The 22,473-nt window shown below is 40.9% G+C and overlaps 1 protein-coding gene across 40 annotated transcripts in view; it reads right to left on the bottom strand.

The window, feature by feature from the left end:
* The window catches only part of KALRN (kalirin RhoGEF kinase), a 692,957-nt gene that overhangs the window by 289,921 nt on the left and 380,563 nt on the right, over positions 1-22,473 (bottom strand). For 30 of the 40 annotated variants that reach the window (NR_170953.1, NR_170952.1, XM_006713810.4 and 27 more), the window contains 3 exons: positions 13,427-13,593; positions 5,630-5,749; positions 1,880-2,098 (listed from right to left, as the gene is read on the bottom strand). Coding sequence is in view for 38 of the 40 variants with exons in the window: in XM_006713810.4 (XP_006713873.1) it covers positions 1,880-2,098; positions 5,630-5,749; positions 13,427-13,593 (506 nt within the window). In the remaining 2 variants the exon portion in view is untranslated. The remainder of the gene's footprint in view (positions 1-1,879; positions 2,099-5,629; positions 5,750-13,426; positions 13,594-22,473) is intronic. The other 10 variants (XM_006713811.4, XM_006713813.4, XM_024453811.2 and 7 more) reach the window with 1 other exon arrangement.

Here is a 22,473-nt window from a genome sequence, read left to right as displayed (position 1 = left end):
TTAAGAAAAAGAGTACTTGAGATCTGTCCCATGATAGGACTGAACTTAGAAGCAAACAATTTGGGATTAGAAGAAATGAGAAATACTTTAACAAGACAGGAAACAGAAATCCAGAGGGGTAAAGTAACCTTCGGCAAGGTCACTTCAGGGTAAAATTTCTTGACTCTTACTCCAGTGTCCTTCACCATCTTGATCCATCTCAAATTAACATTTGTGTATAATATTAGACAGGAATTAAGCCTCATTTGTTTCCATATGGATATTCAGTTGTCCAGCATCCTTTGCTGAAAAGACTTTCCTTCACTCATTGAATTTTTTTGTCAAAAATCAACTGACTGTATATATGTGGATCTATTTCTATAACCACTATTCTGTCTCATTGTGTTTATTCTTATACCAGATACGATTCTGTCTTGATCCCTGCTGCTTTAGAATAAGTCCTTAAATCAGGCAGTGTGACTTGTCCAAGTTTGTTCTTCCTTTTCAAAATCGTTTTGGCTCTTCTAGTTTCTTTGCATTTGTATTCTTTGCATTTGCATTTTATTTCCATATAGATCTTAGAATCAATGTATTAATTTCTACAAAAAAAAAGCTTGCTGGGATTTGATTGAGACTGTGTTGAATCTAGGGATCAACTGGGGAAGCTCTCTATCATCTTAGTCTGCAGCTCCTCACTTCTGTGGCCATCAAAGGAGTCATTCCTCTGAAGCAACAGAAAGGACTGAAAGAAGGGGTGGAGACTCTCACCCTGGCTGCAGGGCCCTCTGATGCGCATGTCATATTTGCTCCAAGGAAGACTTTCCGATGGTCCCTGTAAGTCATCCAAGGAGAATGATTCTCTGATTTATTTCTACCAGGGAACAATTCAGAGAAGGAAACTACTATACACTGAGTAAAATTACTCCTGTTTTAAACCTGTTTCATAAAAAGAATTCCCTAACAGCACCCAAATCATTTTAAAAATCCTCTTAGCCCTGTGCATATTGCTGTACAGATGAAAGGGTAACACACTGCATCGTTATGGCCCTACTGTCCAGCTCCTGCCTTTTCTCCCACAGCAGCATCATCTTATCTGGTGTGTTTCTAGTTCCCTAATGACAGAGAGCTGTGTTTCCTCCATTAGACTGGGGGCCCAAGGAATGAAAGAACCATGTGTTTTTCAAGTAGTGCATAATGCCTAACTGTGGTAGATTTAATTATTGTTCAGCAACTATTCATTCTCCTCTCCCAACCTTCATAGGAGGCATTGCTGCCTCACTAATGTTGGCTTGGCCATGTGACTTATTTTAGCCAATGAGATGAAAGAGAATATGACACAAGCAAAGACTTGAAATGCACTTGTATGGTAGATTTTGGACTCTTGCATTCCTGCCTTTAACTATAAATGTGCCTGAGATGGCTTCAGGTCAAGGAGGACAAGAGACATGGGAACAGATCTAGACCCAGTCTGCAGCTCGAAGCCTAGTTCTACCAAGTTCAGCCAAAATCAACTGAACCTAAGACACTTAAGAAAAAAATAAATGTTTATTGTTTTATGTCACTGAGTTTTGGATTGTTTTGTTACACAGCACTATGGTGGTAACAGCTGACTAATATACTGCCCAAATCTAGCATTTAGTATACACCCAATTTCTATTTCAACACCTCCCTATAGATCTGGTGAGTTTCAGAAATTTATGAGACAAACCCCATAGTCCAGTGCTCAAATGGAAAGGATGATAAGAAAGTCAACTGTGGTGTTTCCACAAACTATTCTTCAAATGTTAGTACTGAAAGGACAGGCTTCTCGCTGACATAAGCACTGCACATTTACACTGCAAGGCAGAAAATGGCCCCCTGGCAATCTCAGCCCCACAAGCCCCACAGTCTTTTCCCTCACCTGTTCAGAAGTTTTGTAAAAGGCCACAGAGGCATTGACCAATTTTAGCCGGTCTTCCATCTTCAGCATGAGCTGCTGCCAGTGGAGGGCCACCTTCTCAGCACATTCCCGGATGGCATCGGCATCGTAGTGGCCGGCCTGGAGCAGCACCTCGGCTTTCTGCTGTACCTGCAGGGCACTCTGGTGCGTCTTCTGCAAGGAAGTGGCATGAAAGAGGGACTGGGCACAAGGAGAGGAGAGAAAGGTCCGTGGGAACAACCCAGGCGTGGTATGGGAGGGGGTGGAGTGAGGCGTGAGTGAAAAGATGCAGAGAAGTTAAAGAGCTTTAAATGACTGATCCATTTTGTCATGACCATTAATACATTATTATTTTTAAAGCATATTTAAAAAAAGAATATCATACATTTTTATTAGCTAATCTCTCACGACCCTAACTCCTGTCCCCACTTCTTTCTTTTTCCTTGCAGCACTCTAGATTTTAAGGACATTTCAGTTTCTGTAGCAGAGAAACAGAAGTTATGTATCAATCTGCTCACTAATTGGTTCATAAATTTCCTTTACAAATAGAATAATAAAATTGTACATTGAGTTTTCGAAGGAGGTTACTACTGCAGTCCCATTTTACAGATCAAGTATAGACAGCACATGAAAAGAAACTTCATGTAACACAAATCTCAGCTAACAATGCAATCATTTAAAACATTAATAATCAGTTGAAAAAGATTCCAGTTGAAGGAATAAATTTGGCAGGTTAATAAAGCTAGAGAGTAACCTCCTACATCATCCCTTAATTACTTCACTGGGGGGCATAACAGTGCAGGAGATAATTCACTTCAATACATAATCCCCATGTTATTTACATATCCCTTGAGGAGATACATATATATGTAGAAGGTCTATTTTCTTTCCTTTTTTTTTTTTTTTTTTTTAGACAGGGTCTTGATCTATCACCGAGGCTGAAGTGCAGTGCAATGGTGCAATCATGGCTTGCTGCAGCCTTGAACTGGGCTCAAGCAATCCTCTTGCCTCAGTCTCCAAAGTAGATGGATAGCTGGGACTACAGGTGTGTGCCATCACACTTGGCTAATTTTTCACTTTTTGTAGAAATGGGATCTTGCTGTCTGCCCAGGCTGGTCTCAAACTCCTGGCCTCAAATGATCCTCTGCCTCAGCCTCCCAAAGTGCTGGGATTACAGGCAAGAACCACCACATCTGACCAGAAGTTCTTTTTTTTTTAATCCTTTTTATTTATTAACTTTTTATTTACTTTTTTACTTTTTATTTTTTATTAACTTTTTTATTTTCCCTGATGGAACCCAGGGTCCTTTCTTAGGGTTCAAGAAAGAAGTCAAATTATGCTCCCCACCAACAATCATTGTAAAGGCCTCTAGTAACACTGTCAAAATGGGTTAAGCCAAACCCAACTGCTTTCACTCCCTTTGAAATAGCTTATCTTCCCTGGCATATTTTCCTTCTGATGGAGAACCTAGTCTGAACTGAAACATTTAAGGAGAAGCACAGGCCACCTGGAGAAGGAGCATATGTTGCAATTCTGGTTCCGTTCCCTTCATTGTTCTAGGCAATGCAGACTCTGCCTACCTTTCATTCCCAATATCTTCTAGAAATCCTAACTGCTCTGCCATGCCCTCTCGAGACTAAGTGGCCTATATCTCAACATCAATTCCAAGAATATTTGATCAAGTTGTATCCAGATAGAAACCCAGAACTGATTAAGAGGTGTTTATGCTTAGTGAGCCTCTATTCTGTAAAGATGAAATGGTGTCTAACACAAATGAATACATATTGCATATGCAGTCATGTGGAATATAGTCATTTCAAGCACTGTGAATACATTTACCCATGCTTCCTCAAAAGCTCATTGAGATGCTTAAGTGTGTTATGACACTTGGTCTTACTTGGCCACCATTTGATTGAGGCAAACCTTTTCATTGAAGATAAAGAGGAGGTATGGCCAAGAGCTGTCTTCATTCTGCCCAGCATGCCTCATAACTGTGCTATACCTCTAATCTGATCGCTCAGCCTTCATTTTCTTCGTTGCTGCTTATGACTGTGGGAACTTGACTGCTATGTGCCCAATTCTTTTTTTGTTTTTGAGACAGGGTCTCACTCTATTACCCAGGCTGGAGTGCAGTGGCGCAATCTCAGCTCACTGCGACTTCCACCTCCTGGGTTCAAGCAATTATCCTGCCTCAGCCTCCCGAGTAGCTGGGATTACAAGTACCCACCACCATGCCTGGCTACTTTTTTTTTTGTATTTTCAGTAGAGATGGGGTTTCACCATTTGGCCAGGCTGGTCTTGAACTCCTGATCTCAAGAGGTCTGCCCATCTTGGCCTCCCAAATTGCTGGGATTACACATGTGAACCACCATGTCTGGCCCTGATTCTTGATTATAACCCCAATCCTGATTTTTTCTTTATAGTGAATACATGCTAACACTGTGATATTTCAGTGTGTCAGAAAGCTACAATAGAGACAGCTGATGATAATAAAACTCATTTCCTTTGGTTAATTCCGCCTTAGAAAATGATTTGCTGATGCTGTGTGTGCAATATGAAGTTTGTTTTTAAATCTCAAATCCCAGACAGTTCTTCTAGTACTAGTAATGGTTCCTAAGAAAATATCATGCATCTTAACACTGTTTATACATCCAAGATGGTTTCCGGGAAATTAAATGGTTGCAATCAATCAACACTAGCTTAAAAATGTCTAGCAATCAGTTGGATTACTGCATAAAAAGACACAGGCAATTAAAATTTTATTATTTTGCCATGATTGTTGTAGAAATGACTCATTAACAATTTTTTTTTTAGTAAAAGATAACATCTTTGCATTTCTTACACGCTCAGAAGTGGGTTGAATTCTATACTGAACCATAAGTAATGAATGTCTTTGAAGTTTTCATTCTGTCTCTTTTCCCATTGGTAATTAACTTATTTTATTTTTAATATAGTTCCCACGTCCCATTTCCTACTCTTTTTCCTACACCACTCTAAAGCAATCAGTTCAAGTCTCTCTGGGAAGGACAATGTCCTAGTTAAAAAGGATAATTAAGGGTACTTAAAGCAAGACAAAATTTATATTAGATTATCATAAATGAAGTTTTATTTTTAAATAGCCTTCTAAAAAGCCCCTGTTGATAAGCTTCTTCTGGTTGCAGTTTATTCTTTAAATACTGTTCTACCAGCATTATTGAACAACTGCTTTCAGCGGGGTAAAAATATCTGGTGCAATCTGCTCCAATGCTCATTATCCTTGTTAAAAGGCAGACTCTGACAATAGTATCTAAGGGTTACATGTAAACCAAATGGTTAAAAATAGGATCCTAATTTATAATGACCTTTGCACTTGTTTATCCTCAAACCTGAGTGATTTGCACCAGAAGTGACTTCTAAACTTTTAGTTTTACATTTCCTCACATGGTACATATTTAGAATGTATAAAAAAACCAATGTACCAGTGGCCTTAAAGGTTGAAGGTACTGATAGGTAACAAAGATTCTCATATGAAGTGTGAATACTTGTTTTCTAATACCAGGCCTCCCTGGGGGATGAACCCTTGCATTTGCTTCCCTATCAACTCTTGGGTAAGAGGAAGGCTCCCTGGACCATTCTACTAGAAGGGGTACAGCCTTCGCTGCCTGAAGGAACACCCACACCTGAGAATCACCCTGCCTGAGGTACAGAGCAGAAAGGCGAAGGGAGGACAGTGCAGCCAGATTTGGGTGTTACCTCGATGGCCAGTTGGAACTGCTCGTGCTCCCGCTGCAGCTGCTCTGCTTCCGACAAAGAGCTGGCATTGACCAGGCTGGCGTTGAGCATTGACTCTCCATTGCGGATCCATCCCAGAACCTAGGGAATCGGGACAAGCACACAGGTGAATGGCCTTCCGCAGTTTCCCCAGAGCTGTTGCCTCCTCTCATGGGGACTTCAGTTGGAGAGCTCACTATCTTTTATCTTCTGTTGGAGAGAGGACAGCAAATGTCACCATAATCAAAATGGTCATCTCCCCAATCATACAGAGTACCTGTGCCATAAGGTACTTATTTTATGTACCTGCTTTATTCCCAGCTCCATGTCACCCCTCTGTCCCAATTTCCTCACCCACATAGTGTAAACATTACTTAATGTGGTTGTACTGTATGCATGTCTAAACTTCCTTCTGGAACATAGGATGGTATAAATAAATAAATTCCATCTGTTGGTATCCTTTTCTTTTTTTATAAGGTCCAGTTCAAATAACAACAACTTATGGAAATCTTTTGCACCTAATCTCTCCTGCTAGAAACAATCTCTTCTTCATCTAGTGCAAGCATATCATTTTGTATGTACCACCGTTATGGTATTCACCACAGACTTCCTGGTTTCTTTATTTCAACCTATGTTTCATTCCCCACTGAGAACATAAACTTCCTGAAATCTGGGGCAATATATTAGCTGTATTTTAGTCTCACATAGTACCTATCACAGTACTTTGCATATAATGGGTGTGGTGTAGTTTTTGAAGTAATCGAGAATACCCAGGTCACACCTGAGCAGTGAGTCTAATTTCCTCTACCTTGCAAAATAACCAAGAGTAGGCAGGTTTGAACTTCAGTAGGTAAACAACCCCAAAAAAGGAGAAAAGAGAAAGAAAACAAGCAAAATAGAAGTAATAACCCATATTCTGGATCATCAGGAAAAGGGGAGTAAGCTATAATATAATTGACTTAAATTATTTAGAGGCCATGGGTAGGCTGAATACAACTTCTATGTGATGTTAACAATCACTGGGAGAAAGAAAACTCAACGAGGGAATATTAGGATAGAAGAAGAAACAGCTGACACTGTCTAGACAGTTCTAGGTGAAATGGGGATGTGGCAATTATCCAGCTAATAAAGTCAGAGCAAATAATGCAACTGGAAGAGTTAGGCTCTGAAAACCTACCTGGTGTCTGGTCACCAGAACATTGCCAAACACTTTCTTTATTAGGGAGTCTGAGAGTTTTCTTGGAGAAGAAATAAAAGCTATTCTGAAAATTCAAGATCAGTAAATACCACCCATCTGTCACCTCATGCCAAAGGAGAAGACACCACTATCTGTTTCAGATTTGCTTTCATATTTTTCTCCCCTCTACTTCCTCACATTGAACAATTAGAAAATACCAAGCCCAGTCTCGTGCTCTAGAACTCATAGGCACCTCTCAAATTTCATCCTTGGGCAAAAAATGACTCATGCCTTATTGTGCATAGATAACATCAGGTCATAAATCCCACTGAAGCTAGGCTACTTGGATTGAGATGTTAATTCATGGCCAAGCTAGCAGATTGTAGATGAGATGCCAATCTGTAAAGCAATTAGTTACAGGAAATAACTGCTCAGAGTGTTTGCGTGAAATCCCTGTTGTCACTGGTGGACTGTGGCTGGTTGGCTAGAGGTGCTAATGATTTTGAAAAATTGCCTGTAACTTTGGGCACTTGCATTCACAGACTGCATGCCCAAATGCCTCATCTCTTTGGGAAATGGAGCTCACAGTGTCCCTCTGCCATGATTCACTGCATTTTGTTTGGTCTGAAGATTCATTTGAGGGTGTCAGAGAAACCACTTCTCCAAGTGCATCACACATCAATGTCTGTAGGACAATTTGACTCCCTTTGGGTCTCTTCAGTTTTGTTAGAAAATTTTTCTCTCCAGTTTCAGCCAACAGGAAGCATGAGTTATAGCTATGGTGGTGGGATCCCTACTTACAAGCTTCCCATTTAGAAACATCATGGGTTTCAGTACCTACTTTTTAAATTATATAACATCATTTCCTTATTCATTTTTATTTACTAAATGCTGTTTAAAAAGGTATTCCAGGACTTTAAAGTGGGAGATTTGATTTTAGGAAGCTAAAAATGCATGGTAGTTTATATCTATGGCTTAGCTCCAGGGTGGGGCTGAACCCTAGGAATGAGTCAGTCCTGGACATAGAACTGGCATAGTAGAGAAATAACATAAAATTTGGAGTCAGAAATCTGGCTTTTTTACTTACCTGGCAAAATCACTTAACCCCTCTGAGTCTCAGTTTTCTCATCTGTAAAATAAGGATAATTGTACCTTCCCTTTCTGCATTGCAGGGTTGATGCAACAATGTGTAAAATGTAAAGTCTGATGATTATGATGGTACTGGTGGTGATTTTTAGTTTAGAGAAAAGCTGGATAATGATGTGATTATTTATACCTCTCTTAATGAGAAGACAGCTTTATTCCAGAATCTGTATGAGCTTACTGGCATATTCTGATGTGATGTAGCTTCCTTAGCTGTTTTGTCATCATTATCCTTTTACTCTGATCACTGATAACCCTTGTTGGTATAATTTTCTATTACTGGTATTTTTAATCTTCCAGGTTCATAAAACTGGCTAGTTATTCTTCTGTGAGCATACAAATATGTGCAAGTTAAGAAACATCATAATTAAAATGAGAAAATGTTGGTTCTACTAATTTTGAGCTGTGTGACATTGCAAACATCATTTAAGCTCCCTAAGGCTCAGTTTTCTCATCTGTAAAATGTGAACACTTTCCTTGCATAAGGGATGGGGTAAAGAGAAAATAAAATAATTAATGTAAAAGCATTTTTCAAACTGTAAAATGAATATTAACATTGATCAATCATTCTAGGCAACAATTTACCTAATAGGTTAGATGATCTTTAAAGATAATTTCCAGTTCTAACATTCCACACTACTTTCAAAACTCAAAGAGTGCCCCTACATCTATAGGGTATCCAAGAAAATCAGTTAGTAGAAATGAAGGACTGAAAGAATATCACTACTTGGGGACTTAAGAGCTAGGCCAAAAGTTCAGCTCAGTCTGAGCTTGAGGGGGAACTGGACATGAAGATCTTTATTGCTTCTTCATGTCAGGAAAGCTCAGCTAAGCCCAAGTCAGGAGAATGGATTTGATTAAGTGGATGTGGATATCCACAAATGGTGATGCCATTTAAGCTGGGCAGGCTGAGCCTTGTAACCATGTAGGCTGGGAAGCCGCCTGTAGATGGCTGTGTTCTCAAGGTCATACCTACAGCAAAGCTTTGAGGTTGTACTCAAGGCAACTGACTCTAAGGACCACTATTGTAGATGATTTATCACAAGGCATAGTTGTTTCTGAAACGCTAGCCACAGGAAAAATAATCAGCTCCTCAGATGGTAGCAGGGAGCCTGTCATATGTCCAGTGTTCCTTACTTCTAAAAATCCATGGTCTATGAGACTGCACATGTTCATCCTTCATGGTTTTATAGACCGTGGCCATATGTCCTCTTAATTATCTCCATTTTGAAACAAAAGGATAGTACTTGTCCTGTTGGCTGCCCCTCTTTTGGATCTACTTCAATTCCTCTCTTTTATATTCAGCCAACAAAACTGAACACAGTATTCTCCACAGGAGAATAAGGACATGCTAATATTTTCTCCTTTGTCCTAAATGTCCATCTTGATTATATGCAAATTTTGGCCAGCATTTGGTGCAAAGAAGCAAATTAAGCCAATGTCTTTAGTAATCAAATAAATATAACTTCTTTCCTCATAGCTTAGAGACACAACATTTTATAAATCCATTTTAGCTTATTTTCTGCTAAATGCACTGCTTTGCAGGAATACATATGGAAATTCATTTAGTTTTATGCTCATTAGGTAGGTCTTTCAAATCTTTCTGAATTGTCTAATAGATGTGAGGTCATCTTCACCATAGTAGTAATTTTCCTGGTAGCTATCAGAGCACTCTTTCGGGTTTGGAGAGTAATTTGGCATTGAGTGGTTCAGGGATCTGCTCCATGGGCTGTAATCAGTGGAGTGGTTTCCCTTCAAGGTCCACCATTTCTCTAGGGGTGTTTGGGCTATCTATCTTAGATATAAAGTCCTACATAAACCCTCAGAAAGAAAATAAGTTGCATCAATCAATTTCATTTGTTCTGAGTCCATTAACATAATTTTTAGTCTAACGTCTGTGCCTTCCTTTCTTTTCAGTACTTCAGTTTAATATAATTTTGGTAAAACTTAAGGTTATGATGGGCCATGATCAAATCTAAACCTTTAATCTATGAGCTCTAATGACATAGTTGTATCATAATCTATTACTGTCCTCTCCCTCTCTGCCCCCATTAATGGCATTTCAATTAAAGTGTCCTTTTTCTTTCTTTTTTGAGACTATATTCAAAAGAGACTCTCAAGCTACTGTCTAAATTTAGCATCACTGATCAATACCGACATCTAAATTAACTCCCTTTTTCCAAGAGTCAACAGCTTCCAAATCAGTATTTCCCGCTCCACCAATTTCCATCAAACACAAATGCCTTCTCTGAAACTGGATCAAAGCGCTCCCTAAGGAAAGAGCCTACACTGACAAGGAAAACAAGTCTGTCTAATGAGGCATGGTGGCTTAACCAAGCAGCAGTCCCTTGGCACCTCGAGGGCCACTGCCCTTTTGCAAAGGGCTTGGTAGATTTCCTGAGAATCTGGTTTGAGCAATTTTGTACAGTCTTGAACGACAGTCCCACGGTGTGTCATTTTTGTCATGGTAGAAATAAGGAATCTTCCCACCCCCACAAAAGAATTCCTTTTTTGTCTTCCCACTCATGAAATTATAAATGGGAATGTATATAGATATTAGTCCACCCCGGATTATTTATATATAGACAGTCTACTTCCCTATTTAACAAAATACTTATCATCAGCCCAGTCTCCTCCTATATAGGATGTGTAGTTGGAGAATAAATATATTTCTATTTTAATATCGGCGAAGGAAAAGAGAATTAGGGAGTTGAATTTACCACTGATACTGGAGAAAAATAAATTAAAACCCAGGAACAAAAGCAAATTTATATATTTCATTTCAAAGTCAAATAGGAATGATTTTCCCGTTATGTTTTGTTCAGATGGTCATTCCTGCCACCTTCCACTGATGGAAATAACCAAGTAGGTGCAGCAGAGGACTTTGATGACCTGCTGGAGCCCTGCTGACCTCAGACAGGTGCCACCCTCTCCATCAAGCTTAGGCCATGCCTGCTCCTATCCTCTCATACATGGTACTGCTGAGGTCAGGAAAACCTCAGACCATTCAGCTAGAAGGATTCTTATTTTTAAATTTTGAATTGATAAACATAATTGTACATATTTATGGGATACATGTGATATTTTGATGCAGATATACAATGTGTAGTGCACATTGTAACTGGGATAACCATCACCTCATTTATTTGTGTTGGAAACATTCAAATTCCTTTCATTTAGCTATTTTGAAATATACAATAAATTGTTAACTATAGTCACCCTACTGTATTATACCACACTAGAACATATTCCTTCTAACTGTAATTTTGTCCCCATTAACCAACCTCTCTTTATCCTCCCCTCCCCTCTACCCTTCTCTATCTCTTATAGCCACTACTCTACACTCCACTTCTATGAGATCAACCTTTTTAGTTCCCACATGCATGTAGTATTTCTGTGCCTGGCTCATTTCACTTCACATAATGTTGGAGGGCTTCTATTTCTCCTGGGACCACATGGCAAGAGTGGGGGCCAGCAGAGGCAAACTGTAGGACCTTGGATTTAGGAGGCCTAGGCTGAAGTTTCAGCTGACCAGTCAAGAGGCCTTGGGGAGCACTAACCCCATGGTACCTTAGTTTCCTCATTTGAAAAGTAAGCATAACACCACTTCTCCCCATGGGCATGTTCTCTTAAAATGAGATTATAAATGAGAAAGGATTTCTCATATGAAAAGAAAGTCCAGTCTTAACTACTAAGTTGCAGAATTTGCATACTCGTTACTGTTCTGGGCCTGCTAGGATTTCCACCAAGTCCTTATAAATAACATGTCTCTCTGGAGACTCAGGTGTAATCCCAGTGTCATTAAGCAGAAACAATCTGGAGGGCAGCACTGTAACCCGGCCTTGCTTGGGGCTCAGGAATTTAATCTGTGCTGAATACAGATCTTTAGCATGGCATGTGTGGGCTATGGCTCAGCACTGATTGGGAGAGATGGGGAGTGGAGAAGACAGTGTTTTTTTCATTATAATAAATAACAATATAATAACTAAGACAGAGGCATCAGAGGAAGGAATACCTTTAATATAAGGAATCAAGCATCAATTAAACAAAATAAGATGTTTTTGGCTCTCATACTAAATCAGTAGGCTTAATTCCAAAAGTTTCAGCATGCTGAGCTATGGTTTTCTGAAGAAAAAAGGTAAAAGCTCCAGCAGCTGCTATAGACAAGAAAAAAAAATGTTTAAAAGAAAGATGGTTTTTTGCTTAGGATGATTTGGGTAGAGTGGGGCAGAAAGGGGCAACCACAGGAGTGATGTGGTACCTGCCCTGCTGGGAACCCCCCCGGGACCTGTGGAGAGTGGTGGTGTGTTCTCTCCTCAGGGTGACCATGGTCTGCTGACCTCTTAAGCTTCAGTGGCCTAATCTATAAAATGAGAATAAAGTTTACTTCAGAGAATGGTTGTGAGGATTGATGAAGATGTGTGTAACAGGCCCATAGCACTCAACAAAATGGAACTATTATTATACTTTTACTTCTTCACCCCCACCTTTGTACAAATAGGTAATTAAAACAATTACCACTTAGTCTGTTCTTAATATATGTATTTTTTGTAATTTTTATTTTTTGGAAACAGGGTCTTGCACTGTCATCCAGGCTGGAGTGCAGTGATGTGATCATAGCTCACTGCAGCTTCAAACTCCTGGACTCAAGTGATCCTTCTTCCTTAGCCTCCCAATTAGCTGGGACCACAGGCATGTGCCACCACATTCAGCTAATATTGAGAATTTTTTGTGCGGTCTCACCATGTTGCCCAGGTTGGTCTTAAACTGCTGGCCTCAAGTGACTCTCTTGCCTTGGCCTCCCAAAGTGTTGGGACTACAGGCATGAACCACCATGCCTGGCCTGTACTATTTTTAAAATGTGACATTGGTCATTGTGTGTATGTTCCCACAGGTTCCTAGAGATCTAGCATAAAATGCCTAGCATAATGCTTCATGCAGATAAGTTATTTTTCCTTTTTAAAATCAACTTTAATATGGCAAGAAAACTTTCCTATAATAATCATACACACTTTGGAAATAGTGATGGTAATTGCTACTAGTTACTGAATATTAACTTTGTGTCAGGCACACAGTGCCCCAAATTAATTAACCTGACTCTACATCCTAAATATATTTATTGATAAAGGATTTGTATATTTCCCATGGACTGCTTGACAGGACTGAGGATAGAAAGAAAGAACAGATTGAGTGACTGAGACAACTCTGGAATGGATTGTCTTGTAAGAGAGAAATCATGCATTTGTTGTTTGAGCCATTGTATCACTGGGTCTATTTGTTACCGCAGCCAAGCTTTCAGAAACTAATACAAGTAGTCCTTAACTTACCTATTTTCGAAGTGCTGGTTACTTAAAGGGGCACCTGTGGCTCTGTATGCCTTACCTCATACCAGGAGCAGGTCCCAGGTCAGGCTCAGCTGGCTGAGAAACCCAGGCTGAAGGAAGAAGGGCTGGGCTTACCTGTTTGACTTCAGCCTGGAGGTGACGTAATTGGAGGCACTGCTCTAGCCGCTTATGAGTCTGCTCTGCATTGAGCTCCAATTCATGCTGCTTCTCATGGAGAAATTCCAATAACTCTTGCACCTGGGCTGCCAGATCAATGTCTTTTTCACAGATCAACTCAATTCCTGATTTTAAAAAAATGGAAACAATTAAAAACCAGCTAGTACTGTGAAGGCTACATTCCCTTCAATATGCATAAGAAAACTGGAATTTGGAAACAGCCATTATTCATACCCTCCCAAACCCTAAATATTCCTCTGTGAAACTGGGCACCACAATGCGCCCTTGTTTGGGATGCTAAAATTACGCCATCTCTTTTGTATTAACTGATCCTTTGCCTGAGGAGTCAACGGATGATCAGTTCCTTATTATCAACAGGAATTACAGTTATATAGAGGTCCATCCCTAGACATGACAGCACCCAGCAATTCCTGCTGGGGGATTTGCCAACACCCAGAATATTCACAAACAAGCCTCTAAATCATACTGGAAAATCAAAAACCAAACCAAAAGACTGTCTCAGTACTTTGGCCAATGACACACTTTTTTTTTTAGCTGGTCAGATATAATTTATCATTAGATGGTAAGTTCACTTCAATGAGAGTAGCTGCACAATAGTGATTTTTAAAAATTCCTTTTAAATTCCCCGCAAGTGTCGCACATGGACAGTGGTGATTTTATTAGCCAACTACTTAGGCCCTCTAAAAAAAGGCACTGTTAGAAATATAAGCTAGCTCTCATATATTATTTATAAAACTCAGGCAAACACACCTAATAAATACAACCCAGCAATACCACAGGGATAATGAGTGCTTATCCATTTAGAAAAAGCTTCACGTTAAAGTTGTGCCCACTCAAGGAGAGTTTGCTCAATGTTTTTCTACTGATTTACAATTAGTAAGCTCAGCCAGTCACTGACAAGTGTTCCCAATGTTTATGTATAAACCACCCAACATTAATAAACTGTCAACCATCTGACCTACAATGGGAGCCTTGAGTCAATATATGCCAGCCAGAAGCTGTTGCCCCATTCCTTGTTTACCTCCTTGTCTTACTTTTCCTATATACTTTTCCAAATTCATGAGCACAGGTGCAAACACACACTTCCTCTCTTCACCATGCCAGTTCTCCTATTTATACGTTATCATCAGCAGGCCCAAGGTAGCCTTCATCAAATAAATTTCTGCCTCAGAAATGAACGAACTCGGAGAGAGAGCAAAGGAACTGCCTTAGTAACCAAAGTCCTTCTCTCCACTAGTAACTTGAATTTGATTCCTTACTTGGCTCTCAAAGACTACCCGAAAGTGTACTAGCTTTGGAACAGTCCTGAGCTGGAATCCTGACTTTGGGCAAATTACCTAGACTCTCAGAAGCCTCATTTTGCTCATATGTAAAATATGAATTTACATACCTACCTACCTCATAAGCTACCTACCTCCTAAACTTGTGGGATTAAATGAGATGATGCATGTAAAATATCTCTCATATACACATATTACTGTATGTACATGATACACAATAAATATAGACCACTGCTCCTTAGTCCTGTGGCTTTTCTGACTCCTAACTCTTACCTTAAACTTTCAACTTTCTGCCTTCTCACATTCATGTCCTCTTGGTTTCTAACTGTCTCCGACTTGTTGCAAGTTGTGACACATGTTGTTTCTTGATTTGGATTGTCTACATATTTCTTATTCGGCCTTGTTCAGATCCTTAGATCTAGGAAAATCCTAACTCTGAACTACTTGCTTATTCTGATCCCTGAGTCCACCTGGCTCTGCAGCTTCTTAGTTCTGTCCAAGTCCTTTCCCTGGCTCCTCATCCAACAATCTAGACCCAATGCAGGTTTGGTCCTGATGCTGACACTTTTGTCTGAGATGCTGAAGAACAGGATCCTAACCAATGATGGGGTTCAGACTTAAAAGCCCAGCAGATAAGTCACCAAAAGGTAGTATACTTCCATGGGGATCAAACCCAAAGGAGCCTGCCAATCTCAACATATGGCTACCTAAAAAATAAATCCCATTTGGGAGATTTCCCCCTCACTCTAACTCACACCGTCAGAAATCCATCACTGCCACCACCAACACACCTGCAACATATAGTTGGGGAAGTATAAGGAAAGTCTGTACATACTAAGGGAAATTCATCTCTGGAGGCAAAAATAGTGTTTTATATAAGGACAATATGGGAAAGTGGGAACACCTTTTTTTTCTGGTGTTACATGGTAATAATTTCAGTATCTTTTCATGTTTATTTTTTGTGTCTGTTTCATAATTCCAAGTCCTAGCTCCTGAAATATCTGTGGGAGACAGAGAAAAGAACGGCTTGTTCTTTTGGCAGCCAACTCCTTCCAGTTACTATTTTCAATTACCAAGGGGATGAGGTAGAGCACCTCCTTGACTGAAATCAAAAGTAAGAATACAAAAATTTCTACCTCTGCAATGCTTGGCATAGTGGGATGACCCCTGACCCTTATCTTTACTTTCTGGAAATGCAATTTAAGATCCATCTGCAGAAGCAGACGCTCTTTCTCACTTCCAGTCTTGATGCGGATTTGTTGTAGCTCATATTCATTCTGTATGTGTCTCTGGTGTTCAGGATGCTGGGCTTGGGCAAAATGTCTTTCTTTGTGAGCCTCATGGCTCACCTCTGCCACACCACATGTTACTTATCAAAGAGGACAGTCACCTGCTTAGGACATCAAACAGAGCAGGCTCCCAGCATGTCCTGAGACTCAGTCCCTGCATTTTCATCCATCTCATTTGATGTTGTTTTATGTGAGAAAAACACAGGAAATAAAATGGATGAAGACAGTGCTTATTGCACCTCTGCATGCCTCAGGAACACATCATGTTGTGGATGGAATAAATGGGAGGAACATGAAGATTTATTCCAGCCACACCTAGAAGAATAGAAATTACCCCCTCTCCCACTGCCCCCAAACACACTGACACGAGTCCTAGTTAAAGCCCATCAAATGGTAAATATCTGTCAATCGGCAGCAGGCAGAGTTTGCTTGTGTTGACTTTACTGCTCTCAATCTATTGATATATCTGTTTTTCTTAGGGGCTCTTAGAAATGCAAAAAGATATTTTTCCTCTTTCCATCAAGTAGCGGAATGTATTTGTGAGGAAATCATTTGTCAGGCTCTTTTTTAAAAAGTTCTATTGAGACTTCTTTCTGATGTGCCCCCACAATTTCCTGTGCCCATACTCCAATCAGAACACTTCCATTGAGGTTGGTTCCTTATTAACTTATCTATGTTGTTCCAGGAATGCAGGCTTCTTGACGCCAGAGCCATGTCAGTCGTATCCATCTCTGCCTCTTCAGGCCCTAGCACAATGCTTCACTCATATCACCCAATAAATACCTAATCAATGAACAAACGAGCCTCTTCAGAGAACTGAGGTCATATGCTGTGGTGGAAAGTACCTGAGAGCTTGGGGGAAGAACAGGCTTAGGTTTGCTCTGTATGCTATGAATGGTGAGACTCTGGGCTTCTTACCCTCTCTGAGCCTGGATTTCCTTGTCTGTAAAATGGGAATCACAAAGAGGACTTCTCAGGGATATTGTGAGAACTAAGTGAGATACAATGTATACAGTGCTTGGCATCTAGTAGGCTTAAAATATTCATTTTCTCACTTTTTCCTTTCCCTCAGAGAAATTATAATGAATACACTTTTGATTGCTGATGGAACTATTGAATGGCTTGTATAAAATGTAAATATAAAATCTTACTGACAGGTGTTTATGTACTCGCCTACTGTATATCATTGGAAACAATGGTGGCTTTAATGCTGTTAGACTGCTTCTCTCAACTCTGCCTCACATCAGACTCAGCAGAGAATTTTTTTTTTTCTTTTAGACTGAGTTTCGCTGTGTCGCCCAGGCTGGAGTGCAGTGGTGCGATCTCAGCTCACTGCAACCTCTGCCTCCTGGGTTCAAGCGATTCTCCTGCCTCAACTTCCCAAGTATCAGCTGGAGAATTAAAAAAAAAAATCACCATGTCCTAACCACACCCCAGACCAATATCACCAGAATCTCTGCGGCTGGGACCCGACCATTAGTAAGTCTTAAAGCTCCAGGTGTGATTCCAACATGCAACCAAGATTATGAACCACTGGAAAAGACAGTACAGGAAACAGAGATATTCCTTCTGCTACACTCAGCAGAATGCTCTGCACTGGTGTTTCTTTAGGGCTAAAAGCCACAGCTAACAATAATAAGCGTTAGTTTGCTTTCCTTTGTTACCAGATGAGGGTACCACTTTAATTTCCTCAAGGAGAGAGGTGACTGTGGTCTAGAGTAAGATTTAGATATTTCTGGCTATGCTGCCCATACTTGTAACATGTTTTAAAAAACTGTTTGTGTTCTTTAAATATTGGTATCAGCCTCAGATACAGAACATCTTTTCTCTTTTCTTTTCTTCTCCCCTCTCCATTCCTCTGTCTGTGTCACTCCCTCTACCTAACACTCAGTTCAGAAATCACAAAGTCCTTTAATGAGGTTTTTAGATCAGTGTTCTCAACCCTGGTTGTACCTTAAAATCACCTGGGAAGTTAAAAAAAATCTGGGTCCACTCCAGACCAATTAACTAAGCCTCCCTGAGGGATGGAGCCCAGACATTGGTATTTTTAAGAAGTTCCCAGGTGATTCTCAATCTACCGACAGGTTAAGAACCATTGTTCTACATCAAGGTTTCTTCTTCCCTTCGTCTCAGCCCCTCAGATCCACATTCCTATTCACCCCAGAGTAGCTTTCATTTTGAAAAAAAAATAAAAATAAAAAGCCCACAGATTTTTTTTCTTTCCTTTTTGACACTAGTAAAATTATTTGTGCTCCATTATTTTTACCTACATCTGTTCCACCCACACTGATGTTCATTCTCGATTAATTCAGCAAACACTACTATTGAGAACTTGCTAGGCACAAGACACTGGCTCTGCTAGATGCTGGGAATGTAAAGAGGGAAGAAAGAATTTGTTCCTTCATGCTGCTGGAAAAACTACAGGAATACAAATAACTTCAACAGAATGCAGCATGTGCTAGAATAGGAGTACAAAATATACTAGTTGCCAAGCTTCACTGAACCCTTTCCATCCTCCCATGTTATCCCACTTCATCCTCACATGACCCTATGTGGTAAGGATTCTGATGATCACTACTTTTCAGAGGAAGGCAAGGCTTAGAGAGACAGGCGAACATGTACAAGGACACTCAGGTCCTAAGACATGTGGCCGGGATTTCAACCCAGGATTTCCTCTTTTGTATTCTAGCCTTTATGCTCAAGGAGAAGAGTGATCCTCACAAAACTTGATTTATTTTAAGAATTTATTTATTTTTAAACGTTGGGGTTGGGTTCTTCTCAGGCAAGGTAAATTTTAAGTATCATGGCCACAAACTCCAGAGATTTCTCATTTACAAACCTTGTATAAAGAGAGAACTTAACGCGTTGTGTAAATCACAAAAACAACATATCCATAGGGTACGTTGCTCTTGTCTTATTCCTAAAGTCAAGTGTAACAGTCGCACGGTCAGATTTCATGGGAGAGAAGAAGTATGGCCTGGCCGATGAGGGCAGCTAGGCTGAATTACGGAAAGTGAGAACTGGAGGGAACCTTAGGAATCAAGGCGTGCCACAGTAGACAGAAGAAGAAACTAAAGTCTAAAGAGAAAGAAAAGGGACTTCCAAAATCAGACTGCTAGTTGGTGGTGGAACTGGACCTTGAATTCAGCCAGCATGTTTCTCTCAACTTCTTTCAGCAAAACCTACCATCTCCCAACTTGAGGCTCAAATAGATGATTCCATTGTGAGGAAAGAACAATGAGCAAATTAAGAAATTGCTCCTGTTTACTCTATTCCTGAGCCTGATGTTAAGTTAAGCAAAGGCTTTTACTTTGGTTAGAGTTGTAGGCACACCAGAGGGATTTAGTAGAGCCTGGCTCAATATTATAAACTTCACACTTGAAAAGAAGCATATAAAAATTCCCTAGTTCCATTTGCTACTGTAAAATCAAAGCATAAGCCCTTATTTAGCATGGACTAAATACCAACAAAAGTTTTAATATTGCTAATTGTCCTTTTTCTAAGACTACAGTTTATTTTACCTTTAGTCCAAATACAGTCCATTAAACAAAGACTATAAATCCCCAAGCCATTTATTGCCTCAGTCCTGTGTCTCTGAAGTCTTACATTCCTCAGCCATTGGGGGATAAGGCCCACCTGGGCTCACCCCTTACCCCATCCCCACCCTCCAGCTCTGCTGTGAATCTACCCTCCATTTCCCTAAGCCCAGAAGTAAGTTAGATGCCTCCCCTGCAGAACCAGGCATTCAGCCATAGACAGGGAGTGAGCATTCCTAAAACCCCTGGATTCATTCTCTTAAAAGCCTCATGGGCTATGCCAGACTAAACAGCTAGCTGTGGTAGGAGCAGGAGAACAGCCAGCCTCAGTAAGAGGCACTGAAGAGGCCAAACCTCTTTTGACAAAGCTCATTTCTAGAACAGGATATTGTGGGGGTGGGCAGCCCATCTGCCTGGGGTGTTTTCACCCCACTCAGCCCTCATAGTTTAGGTGGACACCAAGCACAGCCCACCTCAGTCATAAGCAGTCCTCAGGGACTTTCAACTCCCAGTTGTCTTTCTGTTACTATGGATACTTGGCTCTTGGGACAGACGTTGGCTTGCCCAGGGTCACATCAGCACCCCGGTAGTAAGTGCTGCAGGTTTCCAGGCAGACAAGCCTCCTTTTCCTGCTGGACACATCTACCATGAGAGATGAAGGGTGAGCATCCCTGCATAGCTTCTCTGTCCATCTCTCTGCTAGATGGTGTGTGTGCATTCTCTTATGGTTCCCAGTCGTAGCTGCATAGACAGCTACAGTAAGTACCATGAGGGCAGGCCATGGGGCTAAATCCCGAGTCCAGGTAAGATTCCCAATCACAGAGAAAGGATTACAGTTTCCCCTACTTCCCTAATAAGGTACAGTCTGTGTCCTAGAACACTGACTCCCAGATTTTAATGTACACACCATTTACCTGGAGATTTTGTTAACATCTACATTCAGATTCACAAGTCTGGGATAAGGCCAGCAATTTTGCATTCCTAATCTGCTCCCAAGTGATGCTGGTGCTGCTGGGCCCAGGGCCCACACTGAGTAGCAACATGTTGGGTCAGTGGTGCACAAAATCACCTGGAGGGCTAATTGAACCACAGATTGCTGGGCCACACTCTGCTCACCCTTAGACTATTTAAGCAACACTGCCTTATTCATGAATCCACCTCTCAGATCAGTCTCTGCTTTGGAATTCTTTGACCCTTAGACTATTGAAGCAACATTGCCACGTACTCTTGTGTACAGGGCTTTAAGAGTATGCACTGTTTCAATGCCTATAGCAACTGCAAAGGAACCGCAGCAAACATGTATGTTATGGGATTCTGATGTAATGAGTTCAGGTATGAGCCCTTGAACTCGCATTTCAAACACATCCTCAGGTGATGCTAATGCTGCTGACATGGGGATCACATTTTGAAAGCCACTGTCCTAGGTCATTCCAGAGATGTCAGATGTTGTGATTTAATTATCACGAATAAAAGCAGTGGTTCTTGGCCCTGGCCACACAGTTGAATCACCCGAGGAGCTTTTTGCTGTTGCCCAAGTTCCATTTAGAGGTAGTTAAATCAGAATATCAGGGCATGGGGCCTGGGCACTGTCATTTAAAAAAAAAGTCCCCAGACAGACTGCAAGGTGAGTAGCCCTTCCTGGGACTACACAGAGCACTAGCTGCATACCTGTGAATAGGCCTGGGTTTCAGCTGCACACCTGTGAAACAGGCCTGGGTCTCAGAGGCAGTCTGTTCACAGCACAGATGAAAATTCAAGGACAGACTATGCTGACAAAAGTGAACAGAATTTACTAGACTGTCTCTCCTCTGGTCAGGAGTGAAGTCCCTTTGAATGCTGGTCTTTACTCTTTCAGGTCATCGAAAGAAACACAGTACTTTAAAGTTCAGTATGACTGCTAAGGTCCCCCTGACAATCTCAGGATTTCCATATCCTTCAGGATAAGCAGGGACATGGCCCAACTGCGTTTTATAGTTGATGGCCTTAGCTCCTGTCTACCTCGTGTTGGAGACTGAGGAACCTGAGCCAACAAGGACCCCGGTAGGAGGGCAGTGGAGTGGGTCGGAAGGTAGAGATCTGGGCTCTAGCACTCCCTTGAGATGTGACCAGCCATGTGACTTCTTTTCTTCTCAACCAGCGGTCCTCAAGATCACCATGGTGCTCTCTCCTTCTAACATCAAAGGATGACTTGGGGAGTGGGAAGTATAATAGTAAGGGCTCACTCATTTGTTAGATAAATTTTGAATAAATCTTGAGCAGGAAAAGAAGTTAAATCTGAGTAACTCAGCCGTGTTTTTCTGAGAAGTTATAAAATTATATGATCTTGTCATAAATTTTTATCATCACTGTTTATACTCACCCAAAGACCAGTGATTAACAATTGAGGAGACTGAGAAACAGGAACCGGAGACAAGGAGATAGCTTAGGAGTAGAGGATAGGGCTGGAGAATGCGTGCTGGCAGCAGGGATCGGGAGCAGAAGAGGAAACAACTACACATGTGTATACAATCCATATGAATGTCTGACTGCTTCTGGTTTGTTTTTCCAGGCTACCATTTTTTAAAGGAATCTGTGCTGATTGCCATCATTGATTCTCTCACTCTGTCTGCAGACCAGGAAACCCTGGCCCTATTCCCAACTTCAGCACAGCCTAACTGGGCAACCTTGGGCACTATTCCAGCTCTCATGGCTTCCGTTTCTTTTCTTTTTTTTTTCATCTGACTCTTGCCCAGGCTGGAGTGCAGTCGCATGGTCTCAGCTCACTGCAGTCTCCATCTCCCAGGTTGAAGCGATTCTCCTGCCTCAGCCTCCTGAGTAGCTGGGATTATAGGCATCTGCCCCCACACCTGGATAATTTTTGTATTTTTAGTAGAGAAGGG

This window comes from Homo sapiens, chromosome 3 (assembly GCF_000001405.40).
Source record: "Homo sapiens chromosome 3, GRCh38.p14 Primary Assembly".
Taxonomy (NCBI): Eukaryota; Metazoa; Chordata; class Mammalia; order Primates; family Hominidae; genus Homo; species Homo sapiens.
Note: the sequence above shows the minus strand (reverse complement) of the source record. Positions and strands in the feature narration are given on the sequence as shown.